This window comes from Homo sapiens, chromosome 8, assembly GCF_000001405.40.
Source record: "Homo sapiens chromosome 8, GRCh38.p14 Primary Assembly".
Lineage (NCBI taxonomy): Eukaryota > Metazoa > Chordata > Mammalia > Primates > Hominidae > Homo > Homo sapiens.
Window position 1 is genome coordinate 131,306,538 of NC_000008.11, and position 15,226 is coordinate 131,321,763.

General features: G+C 40.7%; 1 long non-coding RNA gene across 1 annotated transcript; it reads left to right on the forward strand.

Annotated features, from left to right (window-relative positions):
- The first annotated feature begins 5,941 nt into the window (after positions 1–5,941).
- On the forward strand, positions 5,942–11,350 carry IADEN (IGF2BP1 associated definitive endoderm lncRNA). The gene is made up of 2 exons (XR_007061185.1): positions 5,942–9,346; positions 10,797–11,350. It is a non-coding gene; the product is annotated as an IGF2BP1 associated definitive endoderm lncRNA (long non-coding RNA).
- The last annotated feature ends 3,876 nt before the right edge of the window (positions 11,351–15,226 follow it).

Genomic DNA, 15,226 nt, shown 5'->3' on the forward strand with positions numbered 1-15,226 from the left:
TTAACAACTATACATTTACAAACTAGAAAACCTAAAAGAAATGGATACATTCTTGGAAACATACAAATGCCAAGATTGAACCAGGAAGAAATAGAAATCCTGAAGAGACCAATAAATAGTATTGAGATTGAACTAGTAATAAAAATCTTCCAACAAAGTAAAGCCCAGGACCAGATGTATTCACAGCATAAGTTCTATTAAATGTACAGTGAAGAACTTGTACCAATCCTCCTGAAACTATTTCAAAAAATTAAGGAGGAGAGAATTACCCCTAACTCATTCTAGGAAGCCAGTATCATCCAAGACAATGATATAACAACAACAACAAAAAAAACTGAAAATCAATATCCTTGATGAACACAGATGCAAAAATTCTCAACAAAATACTAGCAACCAAGTCCACCAGCATATCAAAAATATCAAGATCAAACTCATGATGAAGTGGGTTCTATTCCAGGGATGAAAGGATGGTTCAACCTACAAAAATCAATAAATGTGATTCATCACATAAACAAAAAATTAAAGACAAAAACTATATGATCATCTCAACAGATGCAGAGAAAGCATTTGATAAAACTCAGCATCCCTTCCTTCATGATACAAACCATTTACTTTTAACATGAATCTTTATATTTAAAGTGGGTTTCTTGTAGCTCACATATAATTGAGTTGTTGTTGTTCTTTTTTTTATCCACTCTGACAATATATGTCTTTTAATTGGTGTAATGTGACCAGTCACATTTAAAGTAATTATTGATATAGCTGGATTAATATCTACCATATTTGTAGCTGTTTCCTATTTGTTGCACTTTATCTTTTCCTTTATTTTTCTTTTGCTCTCACTTTAATTGAACATTTTATATAATTCCATTTTATCTCTCCTTTCAGCATATCAGTAATGCTACTAACAAAAAACTTACTACTTTTCCTCAAGTTTCCAATATACATTTCTAACTAATCTAAATTTTACTTCAAATAGCACATCACCTCACATGTAATGCAAGTGCCTCATAATAATATTCTCAATCCCTCCCTCCTGTCCTTTGTGAATTTCTTCATTTCTTTAACTTATTTATGTTATGATCGCTTAATGCATTGTTACTAATATTGCTTTAAACAAAGTTACCTTTCATATCAATTAAAACTAAAAAATAAAATATTTTATTTTACCTTCATTTATTCTTTCTCTGATGCCCTACCTTTCTTTATGTAAGTCCAATTTTCTGACATCATTTCCCTCCTGCCCAAAGATCTTTTATTATTATTATTATTATATTTTAAGTTCTAGGGTACATGTGCGTAATGTGCAGGTTTGTTACATAGGTATACACGTGCCATGTTGGTTTACTGCACCTATCAACTTGTCATTTACATTAGGTATTTCTTCTAATGCTATCCCTCCCCTAGGCCCTCACCCCCCAACAGGCCCTGGTGTGTGATGTTCCCCTCCAAAGACCTTTTAAATGTCATGCACAGCAGATCTGCTGGTTGCAAGTTCACTCAGCTTTTGTCAGATAAATTTGTTATTTCTCTTTAACTTTGGAAGGATAATTTTCACTGGATATAGAATTCTAGGCTGGTGTTTTGTTTCCTTTCAACACTTTAAATATTTCACTCCACTTTGTTTCCGCTTGCATTGTTTTTGACAAAAAGTCTGCTATTCCTATTCTTATTCCTGATAAGTAGGTATTTTATTTCTCTGACTTCTTTCAAGGTGTTCTCTTTGTAAAGCCTCTGAGCCCAAGCCTGCAGGTATACATCCAGATGGCCTGAAGCAACTGAAGAATCACAAAAGAAGTGAAAATGGCCGGTTCCTGCCTTAACTGATGACATTACCTTGTGAAATTCCTTCTCCTGGACAATGAATCTCAGGAGCTCCCCCACCGAGCACCTTGTGACCCCCCTGCCCCTGCCTGCAAGAGAACAACCCCCTTTGACTGTAATTTTCCACTACCTACCCAAATCCTATAAAACTGCCCCACCCCTAACTCCCATTGCTGACTCTCTTTTAGGACTCAGCCCACCTGCACCCAGGTGATTAAAAAGCTTTATTGCTCACACAAAGCCTGTTGGTGGTCTCTTTACATGGATGCACAAGACACTCTTGACTTTGATTTTCTGCAGTATGAATATGGTAAGAAGAGTATGTATTTGCTGTTGGTGGTGGTGTTTGTTTTGTTGCTGCTGTTGTTGCTTTTTGTCTTTATTATGCTTGGGGTTCTCTAAACTTTCTGTATCTGTGATTTGGTGTCTATCATTAATTTTGGAAAGCTCTTTGCTGTTATTACTTCAATGTTTGGGGTTCTCTAAACTTTCTATATCTGTGATTTGGTGTCTCATTAATTTTGGAAAGCTCTTTGCTGTTATTACTTCAATTTTTTTTTTTCTGTTTGGTTCTGTCTTTCTTTTCCTTTTGGTATTCCAAAGTTTCTCACAGTTCTATAATCTTCTAATAATATCTCAGTCTTTTATTGGACACATGCCTCAGGGCTGAGGCCTTCCTATGTGTTTCTCAAATGGTATAGCATTTCCTCCCCTGCTTTCTAGCTGCTACATTTCCACTGCATTTCCTTGAAGTCCCCAAAACCTGTTGGCTATATTTTTCCCTTCATGTGTGAGACAGGAAGAGAAGAGTGGATTAGACTGAGAAAAATGCCTTTTCTTAAACTGAAATACATCTCTACACATTCTCTTCTTCTGGAGGGCAGCTCTTTGTTATAGAGAACACTCTGGGTGTGTTTCACAATTTTGATTCTTCCCTATTCTATGCCACAGCCAGGAAAGGGTCTTTCTTGGATCTTTACTTTGAGGATATGATAGGTTTCCTTGAAATAGAGCCCATGCAAATATGGGATTTCCTAAAACTGTGGTCCCCAAAAGGCTCTCCCTCTCAAGCTATTATACAGTTAGCCTCCGTCAGTTTGTTAAAATTGCAATTTCAGTATCTTTACAGGGTATATGGCTCTATTACATTCTGCTCCATTGTTGCTGTATTTTTCTGATTGTACCTGTCTCTAGATTTCAGATTGCAATTTGCCCTGTGACCTCAGTTTTCTGATAAGTAGCATAAAACAAAAGTAATTTTTCAGAATTTTCAGCTTTTTCTTATTGTAGGCATGGGAATAAGAACTTCGAAGCTCTTACATGTTGGAGCCAAAATTGGAATTCCCATGCATGGGGTTATGATAAATAGTAATCATTCATCTTCAAAACCACTGATACCAGCTTGGCCAAAAATATGCTTAAGAAAAATCTTTCTTTATATTAATATCAGACTCTGTATGGTTCTTAGCCCTTTCTCATCCCTGCAGCTAAAGGCATGTGGTCCTCTGTTCCTATACCAAACAGTATCAGTTAAGATGGAGATTTCAGGGGCCTTGTTTTTACATACTGTTGAAATCAATCCTGCTTTAGCTAAGTCTGTTTTGGGCCTAATTTCCAGATTCCTAATTCTTGGGATTGTTTTCTCCAGCTGAGGAATTCTTAACCAAACAAGAGACTTGTTTTTTCATTTCCTAATCTGATGATTCCCTTTTCTATCACCTGTTTTTAAGACTTAATTCCTGCCTCTAAACTCCAGCTAAGTGTTGCCTTTTGAGCCTAATCCTTATATCTCTGGAAGTCAGTATTTTCTACCTGTCAGGCCTCTGAGCCCAAGCTAAGCCATCATATCCCCTGTGACATGCACATACACATCCAGATGGCTGGTTCCTGCCTTAAGTGATGACATTCCACCACAAAAGAAGTGAAAATGGCCTGTTCCTGCCTTAACTGATGACATTGTCTTGTGAAATTCCTTCTCCTGGCTCAAAAGCTCCCCCACTGAGTACCTTGTGACCCCCACTCCTGCCCACCAGAGAACAACCCCCCTTTTTCCTTTACCTACCCAAATCCTATAAAAGGGCCACACCCCTATCTCCCTTCGCTGACTCTCTTTTCAGACTCAGCCTGCCTGCACCCAGGTGATTAAAAACTTTATTGCTCACACAAAGCCTGTTTGGTGGTCTCTTCACAGGGACATGCATGAAATTTGGTGCCGTGACTCAGATCGGGGGACCTCCTTTGGGAGATCAATCCCCTGTCCTCCTGATCTTTACTCCATGAGAAAGATCCACCTACAACCTCAAGTCCTCAGACTGACCAGCCCAAGAAACATCTCACCAATTTCAAATCCGGTAAGCAGCCTCTTTTTACTCTTTTCTCTAACCTCCCTCACTATCCCTCAACCTCTTTCTCCTTTCAATCTTGGTGCCACACTTCAGTCTCTCCCTTCTCTTAATTTCAATTCCTTTCATTTTCTGGTAGAGACAAAGGAGACATGTTTTATCCATGGACCCAAAACTCCTGCACCAGTCATGGACTGGGAAGGCAGCCTTCCCTTGGTGTTTAATCATTTCAGGGACGCCTCTCGGATTATTCATCCAGGTTTCAGAGGTGTCAGACCGTGCAGGGATGCTTGCCTTGGTCTTTCACCCTTAGTGGCAAGTCCTGCTTTTCTGGGGGAGAGGCAAGTACCCCAAACCCTTCTCTCCATGTCTCTACCCCTTCTCCACCTTTCTGGGGGGCAAGAAACCCCCAATCCCTTCTCCTTCACTCTTAGCGGCAAGTCCCGCTTTTCTAGGGGAGGGGCAAGTACCCCAACCTCATATCTCTGCACCCCAATCCCTTATTTCTGCACCCCAACCTCTTATCTCTGCACCCCAATCCCTTATTTCCATGCCCCGACCTCCTATCTCTGCACCCAGATCCCTTATTTCCATGCCCCGGCCTCTTATCTCTGCACCCCATCCCTTATTTCCATGCCCTGACCCCTTTCCCACTTTTCTGGAAGGTAAGAACCCCCAAACCCCTTCCCTCTGTGTCTCTACTCTCTCTTTTCTCTGGGCTTGCTTCCTTCACTATGGGCAACATTGCACCCTCCATTCCTCCTTCTTCTCCCTTAGCCTGTGTTCTCAAAAACTTAAAACCTCTTCAACTCACACCTGACCTAAAACCTAAATGCCTTATTTTCTTCTGCAATGCCCCTTGACCCCAATACAAACTCAAGAGTAGTTCCAAATAGCCAGAAAATGGCACTTTCAATTTTTCCATCCTGCAAGATCTAAATAATTCTTGTTGTAAAATAGGCAAATGGTCTGAGGTGCATGACATCCAGGCATTCTTTTACACATTGGTCCCTTCCTAGTCTCTGTGCCCAATGCAACTCATCCCAAATCCTCCTTCTTTCCCTCCCGCCTGTCCCCTCAGTCCCAACCCCAAGCATCGCTGAGTCTTTCTAATCTTCCTTTTCTACGGACCCATCTGACCTCTCCCCTCCTCGCCAGGCCGAGCTAGGTCCCAATTCTTCCTCAGCCTCCGCTCCTCCACCCTATAATCCTTTTATCACCTCTCCTCCTCTCACCCAGTCCGGCTTACAGTTTCATTCCGTGACTAGCCCTCCCCGACCTGCCCAGCAATTTCCTCTTAAAAAGGTGGCTGAAACTAAAGGCATAGTCAAGGTTAATGCTCCTTTATCTTTATCAGAACTCTCCCAAATCAGTGAGCATTTAGGCTCTTTCATCAAATATGAAAAACCCAGCCCAGTTCATGGCTCATTCAGCAGCAACCCTGAGACGCTTTACAGTCTTAGACCCTAAAAGATTAAAAGGCCATCTTATTCTCAATATACATTTTATTACCCATCCTGCTCCCGACATTAAATAAAGCTCCAAAAATTAAATTCCGGCCCTCAAACCCCACAACAGGACTTAATTAACTTCACCTTCGAGGTGTGCAATTAATAGAGTAGAGGCAGCCAAGTAGCAACATATTTCTGAGTTGCAATTCTTTGCCTCCACTGAGACAAACCCCAGCCACGTCTACAGCACACAAGAACTCCAAATGCCTGAACCGCAGCTGCAAGGGGTTCCTCCAGAACCTCCTCCCCCAGAGCTTGCTACAAGTGCCAGAAATCTGACCACTGGGCCAAGGAATGCCCACAGCCCAGGATTCCTCTTAAGCCGTATCCCATCTGTGTAGGACCCTACTGAAAATCAGACTGTTCAACTCACCTGGCAGCCACTCCCAGAGCCCCTGGAACTCTGGCCCAAGGCTCTCTGACTGACTCCTTCCCAGATCTTCTCAGCTTAGCAGCTGAAGACTGACACTGCCCAATCGCCTCAGAAGCCTACAGGACCATCACAGATGCTCTAGGTAACTCTCACAGTGGAAGGTAAGTCCATCCCCTTCTTAATACGGAGGCTACTCACTCCACATTACCTTATTTTCAAGGGCCTGTTTCCCTTGCTTCTATAACTGTCGTGCGTATTGACAGCCAGGCTTCTAAACCTCTTAAAACTCCCCAACTCTGGTGCCAACTTAGACAATACTCTTTTAAGCACTCCTTTTAATTATCCCCACCTGCCCAGTTCCCTTATCAGGCCGAGATACTTTAACTTAATTATCTGCTTCCCTGACTGTTCCTAGGCTACAGCCACACCTCATTGCTGCCTTTTCCCCCAGTTCAAAGCCTCCTTCACATCCTCCCCTTGTATCTCCCCACCTTAACCCACAAGTATGACACCTCTACTCCCTCCTTAGTGACCGATTATGCACCCCTTACCATCCCATTAAAAACTAATCACCCTTACCCCACTCAATGACAATATCCCATCCCACAGCATGCTTTGAAAGGATTAAAGCCTGTTATCACTCGTCTGTTACAGCATGGCCTTTTAAAGCCTATAAACTCTTCTTACCATTCCCCCATTTTACCTGTCCTAAAACCAGACAAGGCTTACAGGTTAGTTCAGAATCTGCGCCTTATCAACCAAATTGTTTTGCCTATCCACCCCGTGGTGCCAAACCCATATACTCTCCTATCCTCAATACCTGCCTCTACAACCCATTATTCTGTTCTGGATCTCAAACATGCTTTCTTTATTATTCCTTTGCACCCTTCATCCCAGCCTCTCTTTGCTTTCACTTAGACTGACCCTCACACCCATTAGGCTCAGCAAATTACCTGGGCTGTACTGCTGCAAGGCTTCACAGACAGCCCCCATTACTTCAGTCAAGCACAAATTTCATCCTCATCTGTTACCTATCTCGGCATAATTCTCATAAAAATACACGTGCTCTCCCTGCTGATCATGTCTGATTAATCTCCCAAACCTCAACCCCTTACAAAACAACAACTCCTTTCCTTCCTAGGCATGGTTAGTGTGGTCAGAATTCTTACACAAGAGCCAGGACCACACCCTGTAGCCTTTCTGTCCAAACAACTTGACCTTACTGTTTTAGCTTAGCCCTCACGTCTGCATGTAGCGGTTGCCGCTGCTTTAATACTTTCAGAGGCCCTAAAAATCACAAACTATGCTCAACTCACTCTCTACATTTCTCATAACTTCCAACATCTATTTTCTTCCTCACACCTGATGCATATACTTTCTGCTCCCCAGCTCCTTTAGCTGTACTCACTCTTTGTTAAGTCCCACAATTACCATTGTTCCTGGCCTGCACTTCAATCCGGCCTCCCACATTATTCTGGATACTACACCTGACCCTCATGACTGTATCTCTCTGATCCACCTGACATTCACCCCATTTCCCCATATTTCCTTCTTTCCTGATCAGGGTGAGGACCCTGATCATGCTTGATTTATTGATGGCAGTTCCACCAGGCCTAATCGCCACACACCAGCAAAGGCAGGCTATGCTATAGTACAAGCCACTAGCCCGCCTCTTAGAACCTCTCATTTTCTTTCCATCGTGGAAACCTATCCTCAAGGAAATAACTTCTCAGTGTTCCATCTGCTATTCTACTACTCCTCAGGGATTATTCAGGCCCCCTCCCTTCCCTACACATCAAGCTCGAGGATTTGCCCTCACCCAGGACTGGCAAATTAGCTTTACTCAACATGCCCCAAGTCAGATAACTAAAATACCTCTTAGTCTAGGTAGACACTTTCACTGGATAGGTACAGGCCTTTCCTACAGGGTCTGAGAAGGCCACCACAGTCATTTCTTCCATTCTGTCAGACATAATTCCTCAGTTAAGCGTTCCCACCTCAATACAGTCTGATAACAGATGAGCCTTTATTAGTCAAATCAGCCAAGCAGTTTTTCAGGCTCTTAGTATTCAGTGAAACCTTTATATCCCTTATGGTCCTCCGTCTTCAGGAAAAGTAGAACGGACTAAAGGTCTTTTAAAAACACACCTCACCAAGCTCAGCCACCAACTTAAAAAGGACTGGACAATACTTTTACCACTTTCCCTTCTCAGAAGTCAGACCTGTCCTCAGAATGCTACAGGGTACAGCCCATTTGAGCTCCTGTATAGATGCTCCTTTTTATTAGGCCCCAGTCTCATTCCAGACACCAGACCAACTTGGAGTGTGCCCCAAAAAAACTTGTCATCCCTACTATCTTCTGTCTAGTCATACTCCTATTCACCATTCTCAACTACTCATACATGCCCTGCTCTTGTTTACACTGCTGGTTTACACTGTTTCTCCAAGCCATCACAGCTGATATCTCCTGGTGCTATCCCCAAACTGCGACTCTTATCTCTTGAAGTAAATAAGTAATCTTTGCTGACAGGACTATGCTGAATCTCCTTAGGCACTCTCTAATTAGATGTCCTAGGTCCTCCCAATTCTTAGGCCTTTAATACCTGTTTTTCTCCTTCTCTTATTCCGTTTAGTTTTACAATTCATACAGAACCGTATCCAGGCCATCACCAATAATTCTAAATGACAAATGTTTCTTCTAACAACCCCACAGTATCACCCCTTACCACAAGATCTTCCTTCAGCTTTATCTCTCCCACTCTAGGTTCCCACATCACCCCTAATCCCGCTTGAAGCAGCCCTGAGAAACATCGCCCATTATCTCTCCATACCACCCCCAAAAATTTTCACCACCCCAACACTTTACCACTATTTCGTTTTATTTTTCTTATTAATATAAGAAGACAGGAATGTCAGGCCTCTGAGCCCAAGCTAAGCCATCATATCCCCTGTGGCCTCCAGGTACACATCCAGATGGCCAGTTCCTGCCTTAACTGATGACATTGTCTTGTGAAATTCCTTCTCCTGGCTCATCCTGGCTCAAAAGCTCCCCCACTGCGTACCTTGTGACCCCCACTCCTGCTCGCCAGAGAACAACCCCCCTTTTCCCTTTACCTACCCAAATCCTATAAAACGGCCCCATCCCATCTCCCTTCACTGACTCTCTTTTCAGACTCAGCCCGCCTGCACCCAGGTGAAATAAACAGCCATGTTGCTCACACAAAGCCTGTTTGGTGGTCTCTTCACACGGATGTGCATGAAACTACCTACACCCATACGGAAGGGAACAAATCATGGTAAACCACAAGCACTAGTAGCACTTACGATAGTTGCTGAAGATCCTCCTTAGCTCCCAGCCTTCTGTTCTGTTCCAAGTCAGCCTGCCTCCTGATGCTAGATGTTCTTCCTTCTCCCTGACCTTTATAAGAGATCGTGGAATTGAGGGCTGCGCTGGAGCCTACCTCTGCTTTTATGGAACACACTGAATCTACTAAAATCAGTGTTTTCTCACTAAAAGCAAGATCTCAATTATGTAAATAGTACAGGATTTCAAAAATCTCATTCACTGGTGATTTCAGGTAGTTGGATCTAGGATACTGAGGGAGACAGAGCATGATCAAGCTTGTTCCTTGATTGGCCAGATAGTTAATTCAGTTCAGTATTTGCTCTGCATAGACAGAGATGTATAGTTGTACCTAATTCTTTATTTTTGATCCTAAAAGTCAGTCGTGCTAAGTAACTAGTTACATACATTTAGTGCTAGCACACACATTTTTAGTTATAGTCTTTAGAAAAACTATAAGCTGTGTTTGAATTATGCTTCAACCACTAACTTTGTGACCTTGGCTAAATCACATAAACTCCCCATATCACTTTCCTTAGTCTTAAATAAAGATAACACACAGTGAGTGCTCAGGAAATACCAACTCCTCTTTACCCCCGTACATACTGCTCAGCCTGAACGTTGCATCTTCTGGGCCTTGCTCACTTTTGCCAATGTGTGACTTGCTACAAAAAAATGTGTTCATGGATGATATGTCTTTTCAAAAACCTTCCCTCTATGCCTATCACGCTGGTATTTTTTTAAGCTAGTCTATCACTGAAAATTCACAAACTCATACCTGCCTGTTGAAACTATGTCCTTGCTTCACATTCTAACTGAAGATCTAACTGTGATAAAATATTTTTCACTCTCACTATCCACGTTGTTTTACACATCTACACTGGTGTCTGTCAACTTTGCAACAGAATACACTTATATGTAAACCTCTTTCACTAAACCATGAACCCATAGAGTGCCAACCATTTACAATTAGTGTCAATGTGGAATTTTGTTCTCAACAGATACTGGGTAAATTAAATATTTTATCAAATAATGATCACTGCACCTGAATAGCAGATATGTTGACATTTCCTTTTAAACTGGAGTACATTTATCTCCATTACAGGGACTGTGTGGTCTAACGTTTATAAACACTGTGCATAGCATTGAACCATGAAGTTAACATTTATTAATCAATTTTGAGGCCTTAGTGTATTTCATAGTTTAAATTGGTGTTCTGATCAAAAGAAAATAAGAAAATGGTGGAACAAAAGTTTTAGAAAAAAAGGGTAGGGAAAGAGGAAAGAAGGAAGTAACAAAATGAAGATTCCTAGCCCTATAGCAACAAATATCTAGCAGGTGCTGAATGGTTGTTTTTCGTTTTTTGTTTTTTTTTTGTTTTTTTGTTTTTTTGTTTTTTTCAGAAAAGTAATGGAATGCTACAGCCTAGTCAGTTTTGAGAAAAGGCTAACCAACAACAACAACAACAAATCATAGTCATGCTCAGATTGCACATGAACAAAAAAATGTTGGAGAGAAACCATTGAAATAACTCACCGGTCCTCTTGTGTTGCTGCTTATCTGATTATCTGAGGTCAAGGGAACTGAGGACAACAAAGGAAATTAGGTCTTTCATAGTTCTCATTAAATGCTGGAGGAGTCTGACTACTGCTGAGCTGAGCACTTCAGCGGCTTTGGAAAAGGAAGTGTGGTTACTTATTTCACCACCTTCATTGTGCTGGAGGAAATAAGAAATAGCTCTGAGACTAATAATAACAGAAACGGCATCCACAGCAGCAGAGCCCAGTTGCACTTCCTAAAGGCAGTATAAATAATTAAGTGTCTCTATAGGCAAGCCACTAGGAATAAACGAAAAAGAGCTGCAATTGCTGATGTGGTTTCACCCCAGTCCTGCCCATGTTTCTTAACAGGAAAGGGAGTTGCAATGCCAATAATAAAATCTTAGAGCTGGAAAGAACATTTATTTGCCTGTTTATTCATTCATTTACTCAGTCATTATTGGGCACTTACGGTAGACTAGTCGTTATGTTACCTACTAGGAGCTTGGATATCACCCACTTTTATGTCTTCATTCTTTGAGCGAAGAGCTATCTACATGGTGAGTCCAAAAGTGCACAAGAGGAAACCTGGCTTGTCCAAACCAAGGGCTATAACTTAGTTTCCTAACTGCCCAGCAAAAATATTTTCAGTTAGGCTCCACTTTAACTCTTAAAAATGTGGCTTGTGAATTACTTGATGAATAATTTTACTTTCTTGATTATATTAAGCACAAAAAGGAAGAGAAACACAATTACAATATTAAAATTGTGAAAGGCATCTCACCAAGGTGCTTCTTCTGAGAACTCCATGTCTCCATTGCTTATCTGAAACCTTTATTTTGCTTGGCCTCTGGGTCCCACTGCCTCTGGATTTACTTCTCACCTGCTGACTGCTCCTTCTTTTTTACTTTTTCTGTGTGCTCTCCATCTTCCTGACCTCTTTAATTTGAATGTCCTGGGACTCAGCCCTTTGGCTTCTCTTTGCAATCAGTGCACACACTCTAGATTTACCCATCCAATGCCACAGCCTTAAATAACATCAATATTCTTCTGATGGCTCTCAAAGTAATATATTTTGCTCTGACGTCCCTCTTTAATTCTACATGTATATCAGACTGTCTGTCTATTTGGCAGCCCCAGTGTGATGTTCCTCTAGAATCACTACCTTAACATATGTGAAACAAACTCTTTTCACCCCACCCCTCACCAAAAAAATCTATTTTTTATATACGTATCCATTCAAGAAAAGGAAACCTTCTTTCATTTGCTCGGGTAAAACACTCTGAGTAACCGGTTCCTCTAATTTCTCTATTTCCCATATTCAGTCCATGAGCAAATTTTACAACTGTTAACTTTGAAATAATACACACAGCATCCAATCACTTATCTAAACTCTGTCGCTGCCGCTCGGGTCTAAGCACCATCATGTCTCACCTGGATTATTGTGACAGTCTTCTTAATGGGTTTTCTGCATTTCCTTTTTGCTCCACTGTAGTCTATGCTTCTCAGAGCAGCCTAAGTCAATCCTCTGCTCAAAATGCTCCAATGCACACTGCACTCTATCAAAGCTCTAACTATTGCTAAAATGACCCATTGTCTCCTTTATTCCTGCTACCTCTCAAGTCACATGCCCTATCCCCTATGCCTCCTCCAACTGTCCCTCTGACGCAGCTATCGAGTACCTTGCTGTTCCTCAAACACAGTAAGCACACCCTATCTTAGGGTGTTTGCATTATCTATGCAAAAACACTGCATGGTGTGCTTTTTTTTGCTATGCACCCGCATGGTTTATCTTCACAGAGATCTTGGCTAACACTAGCACCTTTTCATTCTATGGTCCTTTCCTCTGCTTTATTTTTCTCTTTGCACCTTTCACCGTCTGATCCATACTTTTTGATTGTTTTCCCCTCAAGGACATAAGCACCATGACAATAGGAATGTCACTTTATTTATTTATGTCTCCTTCTACGTAAGTGCATTGGCCCCAGAAATCTAGACCTCTAATTATAAAGAGGCCATTTTTTTTTCCTCCAGCTTCAAAATAATTGCACTTCAAAATTGTAATACTTTGTGAACAAAGGAAAAAGATTTAAAATTATGGGTCTAGGGTCAAGGCAATGGTGGAAGATAAAAAGGAAAGATGTTACATTCCTTGGGGGACAAGGTTGGTCTTGAAGAAGAAAGAAAACAATGAGGATGTTGAATGAAGTAAAAAACAATGTTGGCCAGGCGCGGCGACTCACGCCTGTAATCCCAGCACTTTGGGAGGCAAAGGCGGGTGGATCACAAGGTCAGGAGTTTGAGACCAGCCTGGCCAACATAGTGAAACCTCGTCTCTACTGAAAATACAAAAATTAGCCGGGCATGGTGGTGCACGCCTATAGTCCCAGCTACTCTAGGGGCTGAGCCAGGAGAATCGCTTGAACCCAGGAGGCGGAGGTTGTGGTGAGCTGAGATCACGCCACCTCATTCCAGCCTGAGCAGCCAACCGAGACCCCATCTCAAAAAAAAAAAAAAAAAAAAATAATATATATATATATATATATATATATATATATATATATATATATATATATATGTATATGAAAAGAGGACAATATTCCAAAATAAATGTTAATATAATTATTTCCATGAGGCAGTAATTGGAATAATCAAGGGAAATGACTCACAATGAAGGCAGTCATGCCTGTTTGAAGTGGATCTAAGAGTAGAAACAGCAAGCAGGGTGTCTATTTGGGTAATGAGAAGGGAGAAAGTGTTGGTAAACAGAAGGAAGAAAGCTACTAATTTTCCCAGAGTCTGTTTAAGATGAAGTTCTGCTCCAATCAGCTAATTTTAAGAGGTTTTAGATTAATCTTGTTAAACATTTCAGCATGATGGAGTTTGGGATTATTTGATGTAAATAGTTCTTACACAAAATGTAAATGTTATCTTAATAAATATTTTTAAAAAAGGATTTGAGAAAATTCAACAACTATTTCTAATAAAACAAATAAGCATATAATCATTAAAAAATTAAAAAACAATTTTATTTTAAAATATTTTTATTTTAACATTCTTATCAAACTTTAAAAAAAATGTCAGACACCATGGCTCATGCTTGTAATCCCAACTATTTGAGAGGCTGATCAAGGCGTTTGAGGCTGCAGTAAGCTATGATGGGACCACTGCACTCTAGCCTGAGCAACATCATGAGACTCCATCTCTTAAAAAAATAAATGGAAATGACAAGGATAATTGGTTTACCACTTTTGATAAAATTCCCTGGGAATTTGCTTCTAATGACATTAAGTATACTAGAGTTACTCCTATTTGAAGGCATAATACAAAATTATTATTTTTTATAGGCAACGTGTTGGGAAAACTCGAGTCATCTGAAAACTATTAGAACCAACAAAAAATATTCAAGGCAGTAGCTTTGTAAAGAATAATTACCCAGTTCATTTTCTACACTTCAGCTATAACAAGATAAAAAATTTATTAATAAAACTTAATTCTCATAACGATAAAACTGATTTAAAAGAATACATAGTAATGCATTTACCAAAAAATTGTTTAGGAATTATATGGGGAAAATTTTCCTAATTGAATACCCTTTAATTCCTTCTCCTGCCTGATTGCCTTGGCCAGAACTTCCAACACTATTTTGAATAGGAGTGGTGAGAGAGGGCATCCCTGTCTTGTGCCAGTTTTCAAAAGGAATGCTTCCAGTTTTTGCCCATTCAGTATGATATTGGCTGTGGGTTTGTCACAGACAGCTCTTATAATTTTGAGATACGTCCCATCAATACCTAATTTATTAAGAGTTTTTAGCATGAAGAGTTGTTGAATTTTGTCAAAGGCCTCTTCTGCATCTACTGAGATAATCATATGATTTTTGTCGCTGGTTCTGTTTATATGCTGGATTACATTTATTGATTTGCATATGTTGAACCAGCCTTGCATCCCAGGGATGAAGCCCACTTGATCATGGTGGATAAGCTTTTTGATGTGCTGCTGGATTCAGTTTGCCAGTATTTTATTGAGGATTTTTGCATTGATGTTCATCAGGGATATTGGTCTAAAATTCTCTTTGTTTGTTGTGTCTCTGCCAGCCTTTGGTATCAGGATGATGCTGGCCTCATAAAATGAGTTAGGGAGCATTCCCTCTTTTTCTATTGATTGGAATAGTTTCAGAAGGAATGGTACCAGCTCCTCCTTGTACCTCTGGTAGAATTCGGCTGTGAATCCATCTGGTCCTGGACTTTTTTTGGTTGGTAAGCTATTAATTATTGCCACAATTTCAGAGCCTGTTA